This window comes from Homo sapiens, chromosome 15, assembly GCF_000001405.40.
Source record: "Homo sapiens chromosome 15, GRCh38.p14 Primary Assembly".
Lineage (NCBI taxonomy): Eukaryota > Metazoa > Chordata > Mammalia > Primates > Hominidae > Homo > Homo sapiens.
The window spans coordinates 30715637-30742713 of NC_000015.10; the positions used below are offsets into that span (position 1 = coordinate 30715637).

At 41.1% G+C, this 27077-nt stretch overlaps 1 pseudogene across 3 annotated transcripts in view, besides 4 other annotated features; it reads left to right on the top strand.

The window, feature by feature from the left end:
• Positions 1-20555: part of a biological region, named in NCBI's record as "proximal CHRNA7 low-copy repeat recombination region", that runs on past the window's edge. NCBI's record gives its function as "recombination_partner: LOC106736477".
• The window catches only part of LOC100288637 (OTU deubiquitinase 7A pseudogene), a 126895-nt pseudogene that overhangs the window by 69522 nt on the left and 30296 nt on the right, over positions 1-27077 (top strand). For all 3 annotated transcript variants that reach the window (NR_038253.1, NR_038254.1, NR_038255.1), the window contains one exon: positions 584-706. The product of NR_038253.1 is annotated as an OTU deubiquitinase 7A pseudogene, transcript variant 1 (transcript). The remainder of the gene's footprint in view (positions 1-583; positions 707-27077) is intronic.
• Positions 8534-9454: a meiotic recombination region, noted in NCBI's record as "meiotic double-strand break mapped by DNA meiotic recombinase 1 chromatin immunoprecipitation followed by single-stranded DNA enrichment and sequencing in the germ cells of some male individuals with the PRDM9 A/C genotype". NCBI's record gives the evidence for it as "EXISTENCE:chromatin immunoprecipitation-seq evidence [ECO:0000229][PMID:25395542]".
• Positions 19755-20555: a meiotic recombination region, noted in NCBI's record as "meiotic double-strand break mapped by DNA meiotic recombinase 1 chromatin immunoprecipitation followed by single-stranded DNA enrichment and sequencing in the germ cells of some male individuals with the PRDM9 A/A genotype". NCBI's record gives the evidence for it as "EXISTENCE:chromatin immunoprecipitation-seq evidence [ECO:0000229][PMID:25395542]".
• Positions 19836-20394: a non allelic homologous recombination region, noted in NCBI's record as "sub-region 1, recombines with sub-region 1' within the distal CHRNA7 low-copy repeat recombination region". NCBI's record gives the evidence for it as "EXISTENCE:nucleotide sequencing assay evidence [ECO:0000219][PMID:20506139, PMID:19898479]".

The window sequence follows — 27077 nt, forward strand, 5'->3', positions numbered from 1 at the left end:
ACTGAGTAAAAATTAAATTTTATGTATAAGTTATTAGATAAAATAAATGGCCTAAAAAGGTAAAAATATACAGACATCTGCTGACCTAGGGGATGCCCAGTCGAGATGGGGTGTACCTGGTTCCACTGTGTGGAATATGAACAGCCCCCTCACTTTGAGGTTCCCTGCAGATCACACCCCCAGAACCTCTCTACCAGAATCTCAGAAGTCAGAGTTCAGTGTTCGAGCCCCGCTGAGAAGCACAGTCCCCTCCCCTGGCACATCAGCTTCTAGGGGCTCTGAGCTCACCGCCACGTCTGTTAAGTCCACCAGATGAGACTTTTCCCATTGATCCTCATCTGTCTCCTGATGGGACATTCATTTAAAAATTAAAGGGTGGGATCGTGTGTTGGGAGTGGGATTCGGGGGTGTGGGATTCACCAGCCAATTTCAAATGCATGTTAAATATTTAAAATCATTTAAAAATTTGAAACATTAATATTTAATTTTTAAAATATAAAAAATTAATCCTAAAATTGAAATTGTTAATTCTCACTTCCCATGAAGTGTGAACATTCTCTTTTATTCTCACTGTCTTTTCCAGTGTTCTCAGGCGCTGTGGTCTCACCTTCCACTGGGGCAACAATGGGCCATTTCCAGCAGGGACGGCGCAGTGTTGGCCTGCATGCCTGACTGCCACACACCTCCAGAATCAGGTGTCTGAAAAGTAAGTCCTGTGTTCGTGGGGCCTTAATGGCAGGCCAAAGGGGCAAGTGCAGTCACCGCCTCTGACAATAGAGCTGGTAGTGGTTCTGTGGACTCCCTGGAAATCAGATCTAAAGCCCAGATAAAGTGTAAGGTTCATTGAGAAAGAGTCATGAAATGTATTTCATACTGCATTAGAATTTGAGATTGGAATAATAGGCATTATTCTTTAAAAGGAAAAAAAAAACAACTGTAGTGATTGACAAGTGACTTGATTTATACCAGTGCAAAATTTGTCATCTGTTGCAACCATTATTGATTTTTTAAATATTATAAGCAAAAGAAAAATAGTGCCATTATCTTAACACACTAATTATTTTTACTTTTACTGTTTCCTGTTACTTCTTATCCAATAATACAATTTTAATCTGACTGAGAGCATAGCCATTCTTTTGCTTTATGACTCTTGGAACAAAATTTTTATATACCTTCTTGCCTACTTTTTATTTTATAAGCTTTAATTCTACAGCAAACTTGAAGGAATAGAAAAGTGAACACCCGTAATTCTTCACCCAGATTTACCAATTGTTTATACACAAACAGACACACACAGGTGGTAAATATGTGTTTGTGTGTGTTTGATTCTTTTTGTCTGAATCATTTGAAAGTAAGTTGCTGACATCATGACACACTTTGGCATCATCTCCTAAGTACACAGCTACCTTCTACAAAAGTACAGCACTATTACCACTGTGAAATACAATATTGATAAAGTGATATTATCCAAATATGTTGTCCCTACCCAGATACCCCTGATTGTCCCCCAAATATTCATCATAGCTGTTTTTCCCTGCCTAGTGTTCAATTAAGTATCACTCACTGAATTCAGTTATGCCTCTTTTTATCAGAACTAAAGGCCTGCTTTCGTTTTTCTCTTTCGTGATGTTGACGTCTTTGAAGAGTCTGAGCCACTTGTTTTATGGAGTGCTGCACAATCTGGACCTGTCTGATTATTTCCTCGTACTTAGATTAAGATAGACATTTCCTCCATTTCTCTTTCCAGCACATCAGTGGGCACACCGTGGCTCATGGTGATAAGTTTGTTCACTGGGCTAAGGTCGTTTCTACAAGAGTTCTCTTTATAAAGTTACTTTTTTTTTTTTTTTTTTGAGATGGAGTCTCGCTCTGTCGCCAGGCTGGAGTGCAGTGGCACGACCTCGGCTCACTGCAACCTCCACCTACCGGATTCAAGCGATTCTCCTGTCTCAGCCTCGCGAGTAGCTGGGACTACAGGCGCCTGCCACCACGCCCAGCTAATTTTTGTATTTTTAGTAGAGATGGGATTTCACCATGTTGCCTAGGATGGTCTCGATCTCTTGACTTCAGGTGATCCACCTGCCTTGGCCTCCCAAAGTGCTGCGATTACAGGTGTGAGCCACCATGTCCAGCCTGTAAAGTCACTTTTTACATTCTTTGTCTTTTACTAGTAAGCAATGGGGCAAACTTTGAAGCCCTGTGAACATTCTCTTCCCTGGCTGATTTTCATCCAGTGATCTTAGCATCCCTTAATGGTTGTGTTATGATTTTTAACCCATTAGTTTATTGGGACCTCAGACTTTCTTTGTCACATAGTCCTTCATGTTTCACATTTTCTGTGGTTGTGGGGTCATCACACAAGGGAAGCATATACTGAGGTGGTCAAGAGGAGGACTCTGAAGTTAGACCATTCAGATAGGCATCTAGGTATGCATCTTGTCTCTGTCATACAACAGCCTGGTGACTGCAAGCAAACATTTCTCCTCACAAACCTTCAGTGTCCTTATAATTACAATTAGGAGACTGGGAGTGACCATCGCAGGAGGCATATGGCAGAGGGTACAGCCTTTGGCTGTCCTTGCTAAGCAGTAGCTGTTAATTATTATCAGACACAGGAAACATGGGCTAGAGCCACTGGATGCTGCTTTTATTCCTGAGATCTCTTATAAGACCTTTAGCAAAAATGCTAATAAATCTGAGTGACAGTGCAGAGGCCCCACGCTCTGTGTCCCTGCAGTTAAAAGGTTGCATAGGGAATGAAACCACTATGGCAGGAAGTATTCATCAGCGAACACTGTCCCGATGTGCACTCCCCCATCGGCTTCCTCCTCCTGCTCTCGGTCAGCCTTAACTGCCTCCCCTCGCTAGGCCTGAACCTCCCTGGTCTGTTGTCAGGTTTGCCTTTCAGTCAGTAACCAATTGGGCTTTTTATCTGAAGATTATGTGTGGTTTTTTTTTTCTATTTAAATCAAGTCCTTTTAGTTTTATTGGCATACCATTGCCACAGAATGCATCTTCCTTGAGAATGTTTTGAAAATTTTACCAAGAAAACAGTTTGTGAAAATATAGGTTATTTTAGAAGCTGTACACGAATATGAATTAGACTGAGTCTTCAAAAAAATTGCTGTTGGAAAACATGTTAGTATCTTAAAAATACTTCCTCTGAAAAGGTTACTTGCCTCATTTTCTTCCCCACAACTCTTAAAAGCAGATGAGAGCTGGTGCTCACAGAGAAGACCGCTCTGTGTCCTGCATCCAGATGACATGCTTTCTGTCGGCTTCTTGTCGGGCTGAGCTTGAAGGGATGGCCCTGTGGGGTTCCCCTGCTTTCTGGGGCGATATCAACCCAGCCAGCCTGGGGTTTGCCAGGACCGGAGGACTCTTCTGGTAGGCTCCAGCCCCAGGCTTCCCTGAAGCCTTTCCACATCTCCTTTTTCCTTCTTACCAGCTGTTTACATGCCAGGAATCCTTGCTTGTCTCCTCGTCCTCTGGATCTCCTCCTTGGAGATGGGACTGTGGCTTTTCTGCTTTCCCAGGAGCAAACCCAAAGGTTATGGGAGGAGTGAAGTGCAGGTGAAAGCAAACCTCTGGTTCTGCATCAACACCAAGGAAATCACTGAGTTTCACCTGAGTGTGTGGATGGAAATATCAGGGCTGCTTTTTTTCAGTTTCCCAAAGCACATCCTGCAGAATGTCTGTCCACTTGGAAACCTGAGCTCTCTAGTCTTGAGTGAGCTCCACACTCATGGCCTGTGTGCTGGAGAACCAAATGGAGGTGGCTGGAAGCCAAGGCAAAGCCCCTGCAGAGAGGCCCACTCCCAGGAGGCTTGCAGGTGCTTGGCCACACTCAGGGGAAAAGGACCCCTCCTCCTCCACGGCGCTGGGCCAGGCCCCTCCCTGCGTCTCCCTCTTCCTGTTCCCTTCTCCTGCACAGCAGCAGCCCGGAAGTATGTGTTCCCCAGTGTGGGTTCAACAGCATCACCAGCCAGGAAACCCTCATACTCAGAACTTGGTTTTGGGGCTTACTCTTCAAAGCCCTGGTGCTGAGCCATGGAAAGAGACACAGTCCCCCGTGAGATGGCATAAGTATAAATTCACAAAAGGCTTGAAGACACACCCTGAGGGCAGTTCTTAAATCCCCTGGGGGCTTGCGATCCACACAGAGATTGTGTCCCATAAGTGTGTGAAGGTGGGTCAGCCAGTCAAGAGAAGGCCAGGAACCCAGTGTCTATTCAGCACTTTGCTGAATTCCCTATGTACATCTTGGTTCTGGTTTACTCCTAGAGCATGCGAAAGCTCAATTCTCAGGCAAAGTCATCTGTTGCCATGTTCCAAAGCTTTATTTAACTCATCAGTAAGGGAACCAGCGAAAAGACAAATGATCTGGCTCCACAAGCATTTGGTAACTGAGATCTTTTTTTGAGATGGAGTCTCGCTCTGTCACCCAGGCTGGAGTGCAGTGGTGCGATCTCGGCTCACTGCAAGCTCCACCTCCCGGGTTCACACCATTCTCCTGCCTCAGCCTCCCGAGTAGCTGGGACTACAGGCGCCCACCACCACGCCCGGCTAATTTTTTTGTTTTTTGTTTTTTGTTTTTTTCAGTAGAGACAGGGTTTCACCATGTTAGCCAGGATAGTCTTGATCTCCTGACCTCATGATCCACCCGCCTTGGTCTCCCAAAGTGCTGGGATGACAGGCGTGAGCCACCGCACCCAGCCAGTAACTGGGATTTTTAAGTTCTGTTGGGAAACAAATGTGGAAATAAGATGCTAAGTTAAGGCAAACCTCTACAAAGCAATGAAAAAAATGCCAAATTTGGAGTTAACTTGTTTACTAGGCAGTAAAAGTCATAAGCTATCAATTCTGCAGGCTAATCTCACAGGGCTATAAACCTCTTTATTTAACCAATTGTGAATGATTAGATAAATATTTGTCACACTGCTCAAGAGCTTCCAAATGGGATCAGTCAGACTTATTTGCATTCTAGTAGAATATCACAGATTCCAGAAATCATCATTTTTCCCTTTTTCAAGTTTGGAATCAACGTTTCCATAACAATCAGCTAAAATATGGTGATTGACAAGTTGTGAGTGATCACGTAGCACCGGGTGAAGGTGCTGCTTTTTGGCCTGCACAATGCACTTGAGCTCCGGTGTAGATACTGCAAGGCCATGTGTGGGAGGCAGCTTCTGACACAGCTCCCAACCATTCCTGCCTCTTGACATCGCATCTTTGTGTTGTCCCCTGCCCTTGGGTGTGGGCTGGACATGGTGACTTGCTGTTAATAAACAAAATACAGCAGAAGTGACAGATGTCACTTCCAAGACCAGGATACAAACACTGTGACTTCTGTCTTGCTCAGGCTCTCTCTGACTCTTCTCACATGGTTGCTCTGATGAAACAACTCTGATGTTGTGATCTCACCTATGGAAAGGCCCACGTGGCAAAGAACTGAGCTTCTTAGTTCAACAACCCTCAGAAACAATTCTGTGAATGATCACATGAGTAAGCTTGGAAGAGAATGCTTCCTCATTTGAGCCTTCAGACGAGACTGCAGCCTCAACTCACATTTTGGTTGCAGCCTTGTGAGAGACCCTGAGCTAAGGTGCACTCTGACTCCTGCCCCACAGAAATGGTGAGATTATGAATATGTGTTATTTTAAGTCCCTAAATCTGGGAGTTGTCGTTTCACAGCAATAGGTAACTGATGCAGCATCCATGAAATTTATAGTGTTGATTGTTCTTGGATATATGCTTCTCAGCAGAGCTGTGTTTCATCTTTGCCGGCTTCTCCCATCTCCTTTCTCCTGCTTCTCTACTCCCCCTTTCCTATTATTTATTAATCTTCCTTTCTTTATTCCCACTCCATTTGAGTTCCACTTCTCTGCAACTGTAATTGCATCCTTGGCCATTGATTAGGGAGGCTTAACTAGAGGCACGTTATTTGTGGAGACAATGTGCAGGTCAGAAAGATTCCCCATCCTTGGCCAGTAGCAAAATCGTTTTCTTTGTTGAAATCAATTGCTTCCAACTTACTGTGGCTACATCATCCAGGGCTGCAATGCTTCTTATTTGGTCTTGAGCCAATGCTTAGTGTTTGAATGAAATTGGCTTTAGCATTCTTTCCTCAGGGGAGTGTGGACAAATAAATTTTCTGCTTAAGAATGCAGTTTCTTTCTGACTCAAACAGCTGATCCTATAAACTTGGACTTCATAGTCATCAGTTTCAATTCAGAACCAACCTTTTAAAAATTATATGTTATTTTGATATAAAAAGTACCAAAAGCAAATCTTCTGAAGGAATAGAACTCCAGACGGTTTTATTAGGTTTCCAAGGTTATTAGTCTAAGAATATGTTGCAAATAAATACATAAATAATGACCACAATAATCATAATCATACCTATCTTTTTAATTTTTTTATTTCTATGGGTGTATAGTAGATGTATATATTTATGAGGTACCTATCCTTTTTTTGGTACTTGCTGTGTGCCAGGCACTATGCTATGTAATCACCACCACAACCATATTAAAATAGGAACTGCTATCCTCATTTCAAAACTGAGGCAGTGAGAACCAGAGACTACACATAAATTGTCCCCAGGAATTTTTGGAATGCCTGCGTGGATTTGTATTTGTATAAGTGTTTCTAGTGACTAAAAATGAAAACCCAGGGAACTAAAGAAGAAAACAATTAGTAGATTAATCTATTAGGTCATAAAGTTGACAGGGTATTATAGAAAGTTGGGTGGGTTCTTCAGAATCCACCTATCTCACTGTTATCTATTTTAAAAGTTCAGAGCCATACATGATGACAGATATTTATTTCCTTTATGTTTATTTTTTTATTTGGGAAAGTTGTTTATTCTATTTGAAAAGATAGACACTAAAATGAAACACTGAATTTTACCAGTCGCTGACATGTGTAAGTAGTCCACTAATATGGGCCGATGAGAAAGCCCAAAAGCTGAAATTCTCCTGTATTTGTGAAATCTTAATTCTTTTTTCTTAATGGAAAGAGCCACTGCCATCGACTCTCTTGGTTTCACTTACTCTAAGTGGAACTCTAAGTGGTCTGGAAACTTCCAAGTATAAGCAACCAGCCCACTGGAATTTCTAACCAAATGTCCCTTAGACACCCTTCCCTGTGTCCCTTTTTAACATGCACAGTCACACACAGTTATGCGAATGTGCACATACATTCACACACACATGTGCATGCAAACATGCACATATATTCACACACACTCAACATAAACATGCACACAGAAGTCACAAACACACATACACACTATTAAACACATGCACACTCATGGACACGCACACACACAGCACATGCATGCACATGCTCACACATGGACACCTAAACATACAGGCACACCTAGTCTATGATCCATTCAGAGTTAATTTTTATATATGGTGTTAAGATGTAGATTGAGTTTACTTTACTGAAGTCCATTTGCTCCAGCATCATTTTTTGGAAAAGTCTATCTTTTCTCCATTGAATTGTCTTTGTGCCTTTGTCAAAAATCAGTTGTCTTTTGTTTTGGTAATAAACGTGTCTATCCTTTACTATCCCAATACTATACTGTCTTGGCCACAGGAGGTTTATAACACATCTTAAAATCAAGTGTGTGAGTCCTCTAACTTTTTTCTTTTTCAGTGTTGTTTTGGCTAATCTAGTTTCTTTGTCTTTCTATATAAATTTAGAATCAGCTTGTCTGTGCCTACAAAGAAACCTGCTGGAGTGTTGACTGGGATTGCATTGAATTTATAGATCAGTGTGACTATACTTGACATCTTAACTGTGGTATATCTTAAAATCCATAAAAACAATACATCTCTCTATTTATTTAGGTCAATTTTGGTCTCTCTTGTCTGAATTTTGTGAATTGCTTAGTTAGAATTTTTGACTGTGTCCTGGCTCTGTTGTTCTCCAGGTCTACATGGACCCCGTTCCCTTTTCCTGGCTTTGCACCACTGTCCATACCCCTTCCCCAATTACATGGAGCTCAGCCCTCTATTTTGCAAAATCCCCAGTCCTCTGTGGTTTTCAGATGAGAAGTCACTTCCTCAGAGCCTCTCTCACTCTCTCCTCCACTCCAGTCTAGCATGGGTGCCCTTCCCTTGTGCCTGACACCATCTTGTCTCTCATAGCTCTAAGCATCATATAACTGCCTCATTAATTTGTTTTTTAGGCCAGCAGCCCAAATACTCTTAGAAGGTAGAGACCCTGCCTAATTTTAGGTTGTATCCCTAGCACATAACACAGAGCAATGGCCCAGTTAATGGCAGCTGAGTGTAGGAATGGAGCAATGAAGGAGTGAAAGGAACTGAAAAGGGGGAAGTAAACTAGCCTTGAGTGAGGCTCTGCTCTGTGTCAAGCACCATGAAGGTAGGTCAACAGTGGTCAATAGAAATTAGACTGTCAAAGAGAAATTAGACAGTCATTATTAGACAGTGAAACACAGTCAGACAGAAAGGTATAGAGGGAGAAAGGAAAGGAGGGAGGGGGATATATAGACAGACATTCAGGCAGGTTTTGGATAATCAGATAAATACATTCATAGGCATATGGGTAGATATGCAGACAAACAAGATAGGTTGAAAGACATACAGACAAGAAGGAAAAACATTGAGGTTACAGATGGACAGACAGAAAAACAGAGTTTCCAGCATAGAGAGACAGACAGGTAGTCATATAGACAGATATATAACACAAAGACATACAGACATACTGACAAATAGACACCCAGAAACATGCATAGGTGGGTGGCTGGGTGGGTGGGTGGGTGCATGGGTGGATGGATGGATGGATGGATGGATGGATGGATGGATGGAGACAGGTAGAAATAGACAGGATGGCAGAAAGAAAGAAACATGGATAGTTAGACATCTACTTAGCAGACACATGACCAACAGAAGGGGAGACAGAAAATCAGGAAAGAGGAAGGCAGACAGACAATGAGAAAATTAATAAGAAAGATAGATACATACGGACAGGAAAAAATATATATCAAAAGATACATAGGTAGGTAGGTAGGTGTGTGGAACAAGAAAGGGAGAGATAGAATATAGATTGAAGATAGATGATAGGTGGACAGACAGGCAGGCAGACCAATAGTATGTTTTTATTTAGGTTTATTTAAACTTAACAAAGTTCTAAGAAAGATATGGTATCTTCCGCATGTATTGATGGGGAAGTGGATTCACAGGGGTTTAGTGACTTCCTAAAGACCACACTTGAAGAGAATGGCAAAACCTCAACTCAAAACTAGCCCTGCCTTTCCCCGGGGTTTGTGCCAGCACAGCCTGCATGGATTCTCCAGCCCACATCACTTCAGCTGCTAAACAAAGTGCACCTTTCTACTCTTCTCTTGCTTGCATCTGCTTCCATGCTGGAGCCCAGACCCCTGTCATTTCTTGTATCTTATTTAATAGCTTCAGTAGGAAATGATGCTTGAAGTATGGTTTATTATGTGAGCAGGGGGCAAAGAGTTTGGGAGGCCTTAAAGTAGAGATGAGTGTCCTGCTCCTTCCCTCCCGGGTCCTGAGCTCCTAAGAGCCCTCATGACCATAGCCAGTTTTCCTTCTGGACAGTTTTCTACCCATGAGACCTTTTTCCTGTTAGTATTGTTTAACCATGCTATAACACATTAATATTCTGATGTGTCTTAGAGACACTTTCATGTTGACACCTGTAATGTAGTCCAGGTACTGATATAATAGGCTTGATTCAGCCAGTCTCCTATGGACAAACTTTTTTTACATTTCCAGCTATGCTGTAGGGAACATCCTTAGACATGCCTCTTTGTACACATAAGCAGAGTGTTCTCTCAGCAAGATACTGAGAGGCAGAATTGTACAGTTACAATTCTATATATGTATTCTATATTAAAATGTGTATTCTATATTAAAAACAATTTTAGATCCTAAAAAAATGCCCCCTGCTGACCTCACCACTAGCCCAATATTCCCCTACTAGCAGTGTTAAAAACTACCAATTTCACTTCACCAGGACTTGATGTTTTCAGGCTTTTTTTCCCTTGCCAATTTGATGCATGAGGGCTTGGGTGAGGGTGGTTAGTGATTATCTTGTCTAATTTGTATTTTCATCATTACGACTAAGGTTGATTCTCTTTTCATTTGTTGACTAGTCATTTGAGTTTTCTGTAAATTACATATTCATATAATATGTAAATTTTTTAATTCGTCCTTTGAATATCAATCCCTTGTTTTTATGTTTTTTCCAGAATTTCTTATTCTGTTATATAACTTTAAAATATCTATGATTTTTTTCTCATACAGAACTTTGTTTATTGTCTTTGGTTTTTGCTATTATCAGTTTTATCAACTTTATTTTGATGGTGTATTAGTCTGTTTTCACACTGCAATAAAGAGCTGCCCAAGATTGGGTAATTTATAAAGGAAAGAGGTTTAATTGGCTCACAGTTCAGCATGGCTGAGGAGTCCTCAGGAAACTTACAATCATGGCTGAACGTGAAGGGGAAGCAAAGCACATTTCTTTACAGGGCAGCAGGAAGGAGAAATGCAAGCAGTGGAAATGCCAGGCACTTAGAGAACCATCATATCTCATGAGAACTCATTCACTATCAGGAGAACTCACTCACTATCATGAGAACAGCATGGGAGAAACCACCCCCATGATCCAATGACCTCCACCTGGTCCCATCCTTGACACATGGGGATTACAATTCAAGATAAGATTTTGGGTGGGGACATAGCCAAATCATAGAATTCCACATCTGGCCCCTTCCAAATCAAATCTCATGTTCTCACATTTCAAGACATAATCATGCCTTTCCAACAGTCCCCCAAAGTCTTAACTTATTCCAGCATTAACCCAGAAGTCCGAGTCCAAAATTTCATCTGAGACAAGGCAAGTCCCTTCTGCCTATGAACCTGTAAAGTCAAAAGCAAATTAGTTACTTCCTAGATACAATGGGGGTACAAGCATTGGGTGAATACAGCCATTCCAAATTGGAGAAATTAGCCAAAACAAAGGGGCTGCAGGCCCCATGCAAGTCCAAAATCCAGTAGGGCAATGTTAAACCTTAAAGTTCCAAAATGATCTCCTCTGACTCCATGTCTCACATCCAGGTCATGCTGATGGAACAGGTGAGCTCCTATAGCCTTGGGCAGCTCCATCCCTGTGGTATTGCAGGGTATAGACCCACTCCTGGCTGCTTTCACAGCCTTGTGTTGAGTGTCTGCAACTTTTCTAGGTGCACAGTACAAGCTGTTGGTGGATCTACCATTCTGGGATCTGAAGCATAGTGGCTCTCTTCTCACAGCTCCACTAAGCAGTACCTCAGTGGGGACTCTGTATGGGGGCTGTGACCCCACATTTCCCCTCTGCACTGCCCTAGCAGAGGTTCTTCATGAGGGCTTTGCCCCTGCAGCAAACTTTTGCCTGGACATCCAAGCATTTCCATAGATCCTCTGAAATCTAGGCAGAGGTTAACCTCAATTCTTGACTTCTGTGCAGCTGCAGGCCAAACACCACATGAAAGCTGCCAAGGCTTGGGGCTTGCACCCTCTGAAGCAACAACCTGAGCTGTACATTGGCCCGTTTTAGCCACAGCTGGGACACAGAGCACCAAGTCCTAAGACTGCACAAAGCAGCAAGGCCCTGGGCCCGACCCACAAAACCGCTTTTTTCCTCCTAGGCCTCCTGGCTTGTGATGGGAGGGGCTGCTGTGAAGACCTCTGACATGCCCTGGAGACATTTTCCCCATTGTCTTGGTGATTAACATTTGGCTCCTCATTACTTACGTACATTTCTACAGCCAGCTTGAATTACTCCTCAAAAAATTGGTTTTTCTTTTCTATCGCATTGTCAGGCTGCAAATTTTCTGAACTTTTATGCTCTGCTTCCTTTTAAACATAAGTTCCAATTCCAAACCATATCTTTGTGAATGAATAAAACTAAATGCTTTTAAGAGCACCAAGTCATCTCTTGAACGCTTTGCTGCTTAGAAATTTCTTCCACCAGATACCCTAAATCATCTCTCTCAAGTTTAGAGTTCCACAGATCCCTAGGGTAGGGGCAAAATGCCACCAGTCTCTTTGCTAAAGCATAAAAAGGGTCACCTTTGCTCCAGTTCCCAACGAGTTCCTCATCTTCATCTGAGACCACCTCAGCCTGGACTTGATTATCCATCTCACTGTCAGCATTTTGATCAAAGCCACTCAGCAAGTCTAGGAAGTTCCAAAGTTTCCCACATCTTCCTGTCTTCTGAGCCCTCCAAACTGTTCCAGCCTCTGCCTGTACCCAGTTCTAAAGTCACTTCCACATTCTTGGGTATCTTTATAGCAGCGCCCCACTCTCTGTGGTACCAATTTACTCTATTAGTCTGTTTTGATACTGCTATAAAGAACTGCCTGAGACTGGGTAATTTACAAAGGAAAGAGATTTAATTGACTCACTGTTCAGCATGGTTGGGGAGTCCTTAGGAAACTTACAATCATGGTGGAAGGTGAAGGGGAAGCAAGATACCTTCTTTACAGGACAGCGGGAAGGAGAAATACAAGCAGGGGAAATGCCAGGCACTTATAAAAACCATCATATCTCGTGAGAACTCACTCATTATCATGAGAACAGCATGGGGGAAACCACTCCCATGATCCAATTACCTCCACCTGATCCCACCCTTGACACATGGGGATTATGGGGATTACAATTCAGGATGACATTTTGGGTGGGGACACAGCCAAACCATATTGGATGGACCTTCACTTTTTAGCTCTTAAAAAGGCTTTATTTATTAGTTAGGGCTGGCTAAATGCTAAAATGAACATCCCCACAAATCTCAGCACTTTAACACAAGGCAGCTTTATTTCTTGCCATGTGCCAGCCTGATAGAGACCACACCATCATGTAGGGACCCACATTTCTCCCATCCAGCAGCTCTACTATCCCCTGGGGTCACTGACTCCCTGCTGAATCCTCTCTAATGAGCTGAGCTGGCAAATAAGAGATAAGGGAGAAGTGGGGATGCAGTGGGAGACTGGGGCCAGGCCTGGAAATGGCTCAGGTTCCTTCCATGCCATATTCTATTTTGATGGAACTTAAGTCACGTGGCCACACCTTGCTTGGCCTTGGGAGGCCAAGAAATGTGACCTAGAAACACAAAGGCAAGGGCCATGGTCAACATCAGGCAGGGTCTCCAGCACACTTTATTACCACAAGGTCATAAATGTATTCACCTATACTTTTCTCTGGCACACTTACAGTTTTACTTCTTGTCTATGTGTATTTAATTCCTGTGAAATTTGTTGGTCAGTGATATGATGTAGGGAATCTTGCTTTATTTTTTCCAATTAGGTTTCCAACTTATTTTATAAATTTTATAATGTGGTCCTTTTCCCACAGGATTTTTAGAAATTTAGTATTCCCCACGTGTGTCATTCTGTCAGTTAGAGATGATTTCAGCTTCGTCGGAGATGTTTAATTTCACAAGACAGAGTTGGGAGCCAGTGCACCATTGGGTTGACTGCTCAGTGATGTCATGGCAGCATCTTTCAGGTTCTCTTGACCCGTCCCTCATGGTCACAGGCCAGCACAGCTTCTCGTATCACATCACTTCAAGGTGGGAGGATTCTATGCATACCTCTTAGGAAGGCAAAACATTTGCCAAAAGTAGCCTAGCAGATTTCCTATTGCATTTTGGCAGCTCATGGAGGAGAAAGAACTGGCCACATGGATACTTTTAGCTGCAGGAAAAACTGGTAAAGCAGAAGTCAGAATTGTCTTGATTCACTTAGCCCAATCATCAGCCCATGTATTAAGCCCGTGGATTTACTACATGGGGCTGAGCACATTGTAGCCATGAGCAAAAGCAAAGGTCTGTTGGCAATAAGGAAGGGGAATGGGTATTGGATGGGAAGTTAAGGGCATCTGCCATTATCATCTACCAAATTCTCTCTCTTCCCCCATTACCCTCACACATCTCTGCATTTTCTGTTCTCCTCCACGGGTCCATGTGTCTCTGTCTGTCCCTGTGTATCCATCACTTTAGTCACAATATCTTTATGTGTGAAGTGTGGGAGAACAAACATGCAACTTATTTTCTTCAAAATTGTCTTGGAATTACTGGCTTATTCTTCTAAGTTTTAGAAACTGTTTGTCAGCTTCCACAAAAAATTCTGTATTGATTGCATTCAATTTATTATACATATTAGAGAGGAACTGGCATCTTAACAATATAGTCTTCCCATCCATTTATTGAAGTTCTCTTTCTATACCTCATTAAAGATTTATTATTTAGGTTTCCTTCTTTTTGTGTGTTTTTCCTAATTAACTTACAGGAGATTTGGTGGGGGTTGGTTGGCTATTATGAAATAGATTTTTTTGTGTTGTTTTTAAAATTCTAACTTGGCTAATGTTGACATGTAGGAAAAGTGTTGATTTTTGGATGTTGATCTTGTTCCAGCCATTTAAAATGTTCTCATTTGTTATAATACTTAGTCATGAGTTTGTTCTAAACCTTGATGGAAATGCTTCTAAAGTTTTCATTATTAGGTCTGATAAGTCCTAAAAAATTAGAATCAATATCATTTAATAAGTAGAAAAAAGGTTCCTTCTATTCCTGGTTTGTTTCAACTTGGTATAATGAATAACTGGGCTTTTTGGCATCTTTTAAGATGACCATATGGTTTTTCTCCTCAAATTTGTTAAGATAGTGTATTGGCATGAGAATCATGTTTGGCTGTTAGTAACAGAGAGGAGACATTATGGCAGATTTAACAAGAGGAGAATTCACTTCTCTCACATGTACGAGAATGAGGCACTCCAGGGTTGGTAATGGCATCTCCAGAACCCCACAGACTCAACTCCTTCCACCCTAATAACCCCCACAACCAAGCACCCAAGATGGCTGCAGCGGCTCCAAGGCTCTAATTTGTCTCTTTATCTCTTTTTCTGTGTTTTGGACTCATTTGCTAATCTTTAAGTTGTAAATCTATGTTTATAAATGGTATTTGCCTTGGGTTTTTTTTTTTTCTATTGCCTCTTTTCTAGTTCAGACATCTGAGTCATTTTACCTTTATCTCTCAATTAGGAATACATTCAGCTACAAGTAACCAGACATTTGACTTAACTGGCTTGAAAAAGTAGATACTTAGATGAGAATTATAATAAGAAGTCCAGGGGTGGACTGTCTACGGCTGGTGCAAGTGTTCCATGATACCATCGGAAATAGCTTCCTACTCCACCCAACTTTTCTTGGGTTTTGTCCTCTTGCATCATGTTTTATACTCCCAGAATGGTGGGTGGACTTGCAGATGTTATTTCCTCACTCAAGGCAGAAAGAAGGGGAAAGGCATCACGAGAAAGGACTATTCCATTTAAGCCTGTCTCTTTCCATCAGGTAAGCAAGTGCTTTCCTCTAAACCCAACCAGTTGGAAACCCAACCATTTCCATCAGGTAGACTGGATCGTCGTCCAGCATGGCACATGCAGATTGGTGAATCACAGGTCAGGGAATAATGGGCTTTTACCAATTGCATTTCATCCCTGGGTGCTAGGAATTTTGTCTTTCTTTTCTGAAATCCAGGGTCTCAACTGCTCCCTGATAAACCAAGATTCAGTCTGCAGTAGGTGCAAGCGTATGCAGTGGACAACATCTAAGAAGCTGGGCTAGCACCTGCCCGTTGCCTTCTAGGCTCTGGATGTCAATTTTTTGTATCTTCATTTATTTTCCTAAAGTATGTAATTCCTGTCAGTTCTGTCTTCTGAAACTCTTATCAGCCTCCCACTGGCCTCATAACATAGGTAAGCTACTCACCCTGGCAGCCCCAGGGCTGGCCCTCACCTTCACCCCCAGCCTTTTGGCCACCGGCTCTCCTGGAGACACTGGGGTATCTGTGCCCGGCCACCACCCATGTTGCTCATCCAGCCCAGAATGCCCTCTTTGGACTTTTCCTTAATCCTCCTAAAAAATTTATCTTACCTTCAGCTGTCTTCATCTGCCAGGCACAGAGAACTGTTCCTTTCTTATATTCCAATGGGTTTACTTGTAAGCAGTATTAGAGTACTGATTCCAATCTAGGTGGAATTTTGGGTATTTTCATGTCTGCCCATCAGAATGGAGCATGAAGGTAGGTTTAGTGTTTTTAGTTTCCTTTTGTTCATTTATTCAGCATACTTATTATCCTGTATATTCCAGCTTGTGGTGATGTTAAGACAAATAAAACATGAACCCTGTCCTCCAGGGCAGCCTTCACAGACAGAAGAAGGAAGCAAGTAGGTTGGGGTGACAGCTCAATACGCAAAGTGTGCCCCACCACTTGTCACAATGACAATGGCAGGCCGGGAAAAGAGGCTGACCCATTAGGCTGTCTTTTCCTTGAAAATAAGGTGCCTTTACCCAGAAGAACTGATTTAATGATTGGAATCAATAGGAAAAGTAGCAACCTGATTTGTAAGGTTTTTGGATTTTTTTTAAACCCTTGTCAATGGCACATTGGTCTGATTCAGGCACATATTTTATGCCAGTGTAACAGCTAGATTTGTGAGCCTGAAGAATAAAAACATAAATCTTTCAAAGCAAAGCGGACTTGCAAGCATTCCAATGCTGAAGGTTTAGAATTGTCAGGCAAGCTCTGCTGCGCATTTTCAGGGATGAGATAATCTCTGTGACATGGAGGTTCTCTTGTAAGGTGATCTTTTCAGGGTGTGGGCACATTACACTGTTGCAAGATTGTAGTTTTCTACAAGTCAGAACAAGTGTCACCATGTTTCGTGGCCTTACAAAGTTCACTTTCGTGATTAAGTCTTTTCTTCAAAACTATTGATTATTATTCCTTGTGGATTCTTTAGGAATTGTCTACAAACTAGCCCAAATTTAGAATGGTTGGACTTAGGATTTTCTAACTTTAGGATAGATTTCTTGGGAGGTTACCCCATCGTAAGTCAAGGAGCATCTGGACTTAATGATGGTTCGACTTATTTCAACTTTAAGGTGGATTTATTGGAATATTAAATTCATTTCAACTTAATGTATTTTCAACTTAAGATAAGTTTATTGGTGTATAACCCCATCATAAATTGAGCATCTGTAGTTTTTATGAACAGTCTGTAACCTTTTTGGGATCATAAGCCCATGACTGTAATGACAGCTGTACACTTGCTGTCATAGGAGGAACCCTGGAAAAATTCTATATGCCATTGATGAGTATATCATTTCAGTGCACACAGGAGAAGGCTTCAGTAGGTCCTACACTTACTGCTATTCCCAAATATGTAAATTTTAGAAGAGACTTTTCTTCCATCTTTCCATACTGGGAGAAAACTATGAGAAGGTACAACTGAGTGAGTGTCAACAAAGGAAATGTTTTGCTTCCAATCATGCATCTGTGCACATAATATATTTCAAAGGCACCAGATGTTTTGACCTGACACCTTTTGAAGACACCCCGTTCCATTGTAAAGGGATAGTATTGTGTGATGGAATAATGGTGACTTTTGGATCAAAGTGAGTCTATGTGGGAATCCTTACTCTGCCACTGGGCACTCTGGGCTTTAGTAAAATGGAACTAAACCACTGTCCCTGTGGAATTGTTGCCTGTAGGAGAGTTAACTCACCCTTAAAGCAGTAAGCACGATCAATGTAATTGTGGGCACTCAGCAAGTAACATTTATTTTCCTTAGTGAGATATATAGGGGATTTAGGCCCATGGGAAGAATCTTTTTAACTGCATTCAAATAAATTTGAAAACCAAGTTAAGATGGATAAATCTCTAGGAAAATATGACCTAACAAAATTAAACCATATAGAGATAGAAAGACTGGGCAGAGCAATTTCCACAGGAAAAAATTAGAGGAAGGTGTAAAAGAGCTCCCTGAAAAAGAAGGACCAGGAAGATTGATTCGTGGGTCAAATCTACCAACCTTCAGATATCAAATGGCCCTGGTGCTACTTAGGTTAATCCAGAGCATTGAAAATAAAGTGAAACTTTCCATTTTGTTTTATGTATATAATATTAACTATAAAGCCTGACAAAGATTACACATAAAAGTAAAAACCATAGCTCAATCTAGTTTATTAATATTAATTTAAGAATTTTACAGAAATCCAAATGCCATATGTTCTTACTTAAAAGCAGGAGCTAAGCATTAAGTACACATGGACTCAAAGAAAGGAACAACAGACACTGGGACCTACTTGAGGATGGAGGGTGGGAAGAGGATGAGGATAAAAATACTACCTAACAGGTCCTATCCTTACTACCTGGGTGGCAAAATAATCTGTACACCAAACCCCCATGACATGCACTTTACCTATATAACAAACCTGTGCGTGTCCCCCGAACCTAAAGTAAAAGTTAGAAAAAAATAAACAAGTATTATGGGAATCATTTAAAAAAGAGTTTTAAATAAAAATTAGCAAAACCAAATCAAAAAGCACATAAAAAGAAACATCAATGAATGATTAAAGGAGATTTATTCCAGAAACATGAGTTAGGTTCAGTATTAGGAAGCACATTAATATAATTCATCATAGTAGTAGATTTTATGAAAAAAATAGTATGAAAGTCAACATCTATCCATAATAAAACCACTCAGTAGAAGAGGTTCATGGATACTTTTTAAATGTGTGTGTGTCACTACCCAACTTCAAACTATACTACAAGACTACAGAAACCAAAACAGCATGGTACTGCTACAAAAAACAGACACATAGACCAATGGAACAGAATAGAGATCTTGGAAATAAGACCACATATCTGCAACCATCTGATTTTTGACAAAAACAAGCAATGAGGAAAGGATTCCCTATTTAATAAATGTTGCTGGGAAAACTGGCTAGCCATATGCAGAAAATTGAAACTGGATCCCTTCCTTACACCTTATACAAAAATTAACTCGATGGCTTAAAGATTTAAATGTAAAACCAAAACTATAAAAACCCTAGAAGAAAATCTAGGCAATGCCATTTAGGACATAGGCATGGGCAAAGATTTCATGACAAAAACATCAAAAGCAATTGCAATAAAAGCAAAGATTGGGATCTAATTAAACTAAAGAGCTTCTGCACAGCAAAAGAAGGTATTATCAGAGTGAACAGACAACCTACAGAATGGGAGTTTTTTTTTTTTTTTTTTTTTTTTGAGACAGAGTCTCGCTCTGTCCCCCAGGCTGGAGTGCAGTGGCACGATCTCAGCTCACTGCAAGCTCCGCCTCCCGGGTTCATGCCATTCTCCTGTCTCAGCCTCCCAAGTAGCTGGGACTACAGGCGCCCGCCACCACACCCGGCTAATTTTTTTTTTGTATTTTTAGTAGAGACGGGGTTTCACCTTGTTAGCCAGGATGGTCTTGATCTCCTGACCTTGTGATCCACCCGCCTCAGCCTCCCAAAGTGCTGAGATTACAGGCGTGAGCCACCGCGCCCGGCCGGGAGAAGATTTTTATAATCTATCCATCTGACAAAGGTCTAATATCCAGAATCTACAAGGAACAAATTTACAAGAAAGAAACAAACCCATTAAAAAGTGGGCAAAGGATATGAACAGACACTCCTCAAAAGAAGACATTTAGGTGGCTAACAAACATACGAAATAGAGCTGAACATCACTGGTCATTACAGAAATGCAAAGCAAAACTGCAATGAGATACCATCTCATGCTATAGTCAGAATGACAATTATTAAAAAGTCAAGAAACAACAGATGCTGGCAAGGCTGTGGAGAAATAAGAATGTATTTACACTGTTAGTGGGAATGTAAATTAGTTCAACCATTGTGGAAAACAGTGTGGTGATTCCTCAAAGACGTAGAACCAGAAATACCATTTGACTTGGAAATCCCATTACTTTATATACCCAAAGGAATACAAATCATTCTGTTATAAAGATACATGCATGTGTGTGTTCATTTCAGCAGTATTCACAATAGCAAAGACATGGAATCAACCCAAATGCCCATCAGTGATAGACTGGATAAAGAAAATATGGGATCTTCATGGCTCTGACTCAGATGGACACAGCAGCATTCCGAGGCTTGCATCGTGAATTTTTAGCTCCAGATCGACTGCAAGAACAAACCAGCAATCCTGAGAGGACCCACAGACCCTCTGAAGGAAGCAGACTGCTCCTGCAGGACCCAGGAAACACCTCAAATACTGTGAGTGCCCACCTGCGGAAGTGGAAAAGGGAGATCCTGCTCTCCCGAACACACACCCGCAATGGAGAAATTGAAGGTCTGTTTGCAGGAGAAGTTTCCGACCTTAACTGGAGCTGAGTCAGTTTAGAGAACTGAGTGAAATACAGGGGTAGAGGAAGCAGTGGGAAAGGCCCTGGGAGCTCCCTGGGTCCCCAAGCAGGCCATTCCTGCCTGGCACCGCAGGCATCCTTTGGGAGGGAAGCCAGAGGAGTAGGGAAAAACACCACAGAGAGAAGGAAGTCTCCAGCTGAACTTTGTAACAATTTGAACTGGGTGAGAAGCCTCTTTGCCAGAACTCAGGGGAGGGTGCGAATCTGTCCTGCAGACTCTCCACAGGCGGGGGTAGAACCAAGCCCCTTTCTTTCCAGCTGGGAAGCAGGTAACCTGGGGGAAGTTCTCAGCTCTGCTCACCCACTGCCTGGAAACAGACTTGGGGCTGTTACGGGAGGCACAGTGGGAGGAGACCGGCCCTTCGGACTGCATGGGAGCTGGGTGAGGCCTGCGACTGCCGGCTTTCCCTCACTTCCCTGACAGCCTGCATGACTCAGCAGAGGCAACCATAATCCTCGTAGGTACACAACTCCATTGACCTGGGAACCTCACCCCCCATCCCCCACAGCAGCCTCAGCAAGACGCACCCAAGGACAGTCTGAACTAAGACATACCCAACCCTGCCCCCACCTGATGGGCCTTCCCTATCCACCCTGGTAGCTGAATACAAATGGCATGTTATCTTGGGAGTTCTGGGGCCCCACCCACCACTGGTTCTTCTCCATGCTACCACAGCTGATGCTCCCTGGAAAGTGCCATCTCCTGGCAGGTGACCAACCAGCACAAAAATAGGATATTAAACCACCAAAGCTAAGAATCCTTGCAGAGTCCATTTGACCCCACCACCAGCTCCAGGAGAACAGGTGCTGGTGTCCACAGCTAAGACACCCATAGATGGTTTACATCACAGGACTCTGTACAGACGATACCCAGTACCAGTCTGGAGCCAGGTAGACTTGCTGGGTGGCTAGACCCAGAAGAGAGACAGCAATTGCTGCAGTTCGGCTGGCAGGAAGCCACAATTATAGGAAAACCAGGAGAGTATTACATCAAGGGAACACGCCATGAGACAAAAGAATCTGAACAACAGCCTTCAGCCGTAGACCTTCCCTCTGACAGAGCTTACCCAAATGAGAAGAAACCAGAAAACCAACCCTGCTAAGATGACCAAACAAGGCTCTTTAACACCCCCCAAAAAATCACACTAGTTCACCAGCAATGGATCCAAACCAAGAAGAAATCCCTGATTTACCTGAAAAATAATTCAGGAGGTTAGTTATTAAGCTAATCAGGGAGAGGCACCAGAGAAAGGCAAAGCCTAATGTGAGGAAATCCAAAAAACAATACAAGAAGTGAAGGGAGAAATATTCAAGGAAATAGATAGCTTAAAGAAAAAACTATCAAAACTGCAGGAAACACTGGACACACTTATAGAAATGCAAAATGCTTTGGAAAGTCTCAGCAATAGAATTGAACAAGTATAAGAAAGAAATTCAGAGCTCAAAGACAAGGTCTTTGAATTAACCCAATCCAACAAAGACAAAGAAAAAATAATAAGAAAATATGAACAAAGCCTCCAAGAAGGCTGGGACTATGTTAAACAACCAAACCTAAGAATAATCAGTGTTCCTGAGGAATAAGAGATTTCTAAAAGCTTGGAAAAATATATTTGGGGGGAATAATGGAGGAAAACTTCCCTGGCCTTCCCAGAGACCTAGACATTCAAATACAAGAAGCACAAAGAACACCTGGGAAATTCATCTCAAAAAGATCATCACTTAGGCACATTGTCATCAGATTATCTAAAGTTCAGATGAAGGAAAGAATCTTAAGAGCTGTGAGACAGAAGCACCAGGTAACCTATAAAGGAAAACCTATCAGACTAACAGCAGATTTCTCAGCAGAAACCCTACAAGCTAGAAAGGACTGGGGCCCTATCTTCAGTATCCTCAAACGAAACCATTTTCAGCTAAGAATTTTGTATGCAGCAAATTTCTATCATATATGATAGATATATACAGCCTTTCAGAAAATACAGAGAGAATTGACCACTACCAAGCCACCACTAGAAGAACTGCTAAAAGGAGCTCTAAATCTTGAAACAAATCCTAGAAACATATCAAAACAAAACTTTGTAAAGCATAAATCACACAGGACCTATAAAACAAAAATACAAGTTAAAAAGCAAAAACAAAAAATGAAAAAACCAAGGTACACAGGCAACAAATAGCACAATGAATGCAATGGTACCTGACATCTGAATAATAACATTGAATGTAAATGGCCTAAATGCTCCACTTAAAATATACAGAACTGCAAAATAAATAAGAACTCACCAGTGAACTACCTGCTGCCTTCAGTAGACTCACCTAATACATAAGGACTCACATAAACTTAAAGTAAAAGGGTGGAAAAAGGCATTTCATGCAAATGGACACCAAAAGCAAGCAGCAGTAGCTATTCTTATATCAGACAAAACAATCTTTAAAGCAACAGCAGTTAAAAGAGACACAGCGGGACCATTATATAATGTTAAAAGGCCTTGTCCAACAGGAAAATATCACAATCCTAAACATACAGGCACCTAATACTGGAGCTCCCAAGTTTATACAACAATTACTAATAGACCTAAGAAATGAGATAGACAGCAACACAATAATAGTGGGGGACTTCAGTACTACACTGACAGTACTAGACAGGTCATCAAGATAGAAAGTCAAAGAAACAATGGATTTAAACTATACCTTGGAACAAATGGACTTAACAGATATGTACAGAACATTTCATCCAACAATCACGGAATACACATTCTATTCAACAGCACATGGAAGTTTCTCCAAGATAGACCATATGATAGGCCACAAAACGAGCCTCAGTAAATCTAAGAAAATTAAAATATATCAAGTACTCTCTCAGACCACAGTGGAATCAAACTGGAAATCAATTCCAAAAGCAACCTTCAAAACCATGCAAATACGTGGAAATTAAATAACCTGTTCCTGAATGATCATTGGGTCAAAAATGTAATCACGATGGAAATTTAAAAATTATTCAAACTCAACGACAATAATGACACAACCTGTCAAACCTCTGGGATACAGCAAAGGGGATACTAGTAGGAAAGTTCATAGCCCTAAACACCTATCAAAAAGACTGAAAGGGCAGAAACTGACATTCTAAAGTCACACCTCAAGGAGCTATAGAAACAAGAACAAACCAAACCCAAACCCAGCAGTAGAAAGGAAATAACCAAGATCAGAGCAGAACTAGATGAAATTGAAACAAAAAAAAATACAAAAGATAAATGAAACAAAAGCTGGTTTTTTGAAAAAATAAATAAAACTGATAGACAACTAGCAAGATTAACTAAGAAAAGAAGAGAGAAAATCTAAATAACCTCATTAAGAAACAAACGGGAGATATTACACCACAGAAATACAAAAGATGTGACACCACAGAAATACAAAGGATTATTCAAGGCTACTATGAACACCTTTACACACATAAACTAGAAAACCTGGAAGACATGGATAAATTCCTGGAAAAATACAATCCTCCTAGCTTAAATCAGGAAGAATTAGATACCCTGAACAGACCAATAACAAGCAGTGTGATTGAAATCTTAATTTAAAAATTACCAACAAAAGAAGTCCAGGACCAGATGGATTCACAGCAGAATTCGACTCTATTCCACAAGACAGAGAAAGAAGAAAGCCTCCCTAATTCATTCTATGAAGCCAGCCTCACCTTAATAGCAAAACCAGGAAAGGACATAACCAAAAAAGAAAACTACAGACTGATATCCTTGCTGAACATAGATGCTAAAATCCTTAACAAAATACTGGCTAACAGAATCTAACAACATATCAAAAAAATAATCCACCATGATCAAGTGGGTTTCATACCAGGGATGAAAGGATGATTTAACATACGCAAGTCAATAAACGCAATATACCACACAAACAGAAAATCGACATACAGGGGACATATCTCAATGTAATAAAAGCCATCTGTGACAAACCCATAGCCAACATAATACTGAATAGGAAAAGTTGAAAGCTTCCCTCTGAGAACTGGAACAAGACAAGGATGCCCACTCTCACCACTCCTCTTCAACATAGTACTGGAAGTCCTAGCCAGAGCAATCAGACAAGAGAAATAAAGGGCATCCACATCGGTGAAGAGGAAGTCAGACTGTCACTGTTTGCTGATAATATGATTGTTTACCTTGAAAACCCTAAAGACTCCTCCAGAAAGCTCCTAGAACTGATGAAAGAATTCAGCAAAGTTTCTGGATACAAGATTAATGTACACAAATTGGTAGCTCTTCTATACACCAGGAAAGACAAAGCGGAGAATCAAATCAATAACTCAACCTTTTTTATAACAGCTGTAAAAATAAAATCAAATACTTAGGAATATACCTAATCAAGGAGACGAAAGACCTCTACAAGGAAAACTATAGAACACTGGTGAAAGAAATCATAGATGACACAAACAATTGGAAACACATCCCATGTTCATGGATGGGTAGAATCAATATTGAGAAAATGACCATACTGCCAAAAGCAGTCTACAAATTCAGTGCAATCCCCATCAAAATACCACCATCATTCTTCACAGAATTAGAAACAGCAATTCTAAAATTCATATGGAACCAAAAAAAGAGCCTGCATAGCCAAAGTAAGACTAAGCAAAAAGAACAAATTTGGAGGCATCACACTACCTGATTTCAAACTATACTATAAGGCCGTAGTCACCAGAACAGCGTGGTAGTGGTATAAAAATAGGCACATAGAGCAATGGAAAACAATAGAGAACCCAGAAATACACCCAAATACTTACAGCCAACTGATCTTTGACAAAGCAAACAAAAACATAAAGTAGGGAAAGGATGCCCTTTTGAACAAACGATGCTGGGATAATTGGCTAGCCACATGTAGGAGAATGAAACAGGATCCTCATCTCTCACCTTATACAAAAATCAACTCAAGAGGGATTAATGACTTATATCTAAGACCTGAAACTATAAAAGTTCTAGAAGATAACATTGGAAAACCCCTTGTAGACATTGGCTTAGGCAATGATTTCATGAGCAAGAACCCAAAAGCAAATGCAATAAAAACAAAGATAAATAGCTGGTACTCAATTAAACTAAAGAGCTTTTGCATGGTAAAAGGAACAGCCAGCAGAGTAAACAGACAACCCACAGAGTGGGAGAAAATCTTCACAATCTATACATCTGACAAAGGACTAATATCCAGAATCTACAACAAACTCAAATCAGTAAGAAAAAAAATCCCATCAAAATTGGGCTAAGGATATGAATAGAAAATTCTCAAAAGAAGATATAGAAATGTCCAACAAACCTATGAAAAAATGCTCAACATCTCTAATGATCAGGGAAATGGAAATCAAAACCACAATGTGATACCACCTTACTCCTGCAAGAATGGCCATAATAAAAAAAAAAATCAACAAACAGTAGATGTTGGCATGGATGTGGTGAACAGGGAGCACTTCCACACTGCTGGTGGGAATGTAAACTAGTGCAGCCACTATGGAAAACAGTGTGGAGACTCCTTAAAGAACTAAAAGTAGAGCTACCATTTGATCCAGCAATCCCACTATTTGGTATCTACCCAGAGGAAAAGAAATCGTTATACGAAAAAGATACTTGCACATGCATGTTTGTAGCAGCACAATTCACAATTGCAAAATCATGGAACCAACCCAAATGCCATCAATCAATGAGTGCATAAGCAAACTATAGTATATTTATACAATGGAATACTAGTCTGCCATAAAAAGAAATGAATTAACATCATTTGCAGTGACCTGGATGAGACTGGAGACTATTATTCTAAGTGAAGTAACTCAGGAATGGAAAACCAAACATCCTATGTTCTCACTGATATGTGGGAGCTAAGCTATGAGGACGCAAAGGCATAAGAATGATACAATGGACTTTGGGGACTTGGGGGGAAGGATGGGAGGGGAGCAAAGGATAAAAGACTACAAATAGCATTCTGTGTATACTGCTCAGGTGATGGGTGCACCAAAATCTCACAAATCGCAACTAAAGAACTTACTCATGTAACCAAACACCACCTGTACCCCAATAACTTATGGAAAAATAAAATTTTTTTAAAGAAAATGTGGTGCATATACACCATGGAATACTATGCAGCCATAAAAAGGAAACAGATCATGTCCTTTGCAGGGACATGGTTGGAACTGAAAGCCATTATCCTCAGCAAACTAACACAGGAACAGAAAACGAAACACCACATGTTCTCACTTATAAGTGAGAGCAAACAATGAGAACACATGGACACAGGGAGGGGAACAACACACCCTGCGGCCTGTCGGGGGGATGTGGGGGATGGTGAGCATCAGGATAAATAATGCATTTAGGGCTTAATACCCAGGTGATGGGCTGATAGGTGCAACAAACCACCATGGCACACATTTACCTATGTAACAAACCTGCACATCCTGCACATGTATCCTGGAACTTTAAATTAAATTTAAAAAAATTTGTGTGTGTGTGTGTATGTGTGTGTTTAGCCCAAGACCCAACACCCCGCATCTTTTTCAGTGTGGAAACACCAAAGTTATTCCCACTAAAGTTAGGAGCAAAGCAAAGATGCCCATAACCTCTCATAATATGTAATATTATATTGAATGCATTAATCAAGGAAATCAGACAGGATTTGGCAATAGAGAGATACTCCATCTCAAAAAAAAAGAGTTAACACAAACTATATTTGCATTTGATATGTTGTGTATCTGGAAAACTAAAAAAACTATGCAAATTTGCTATAAATTGTAAGAACTTAGT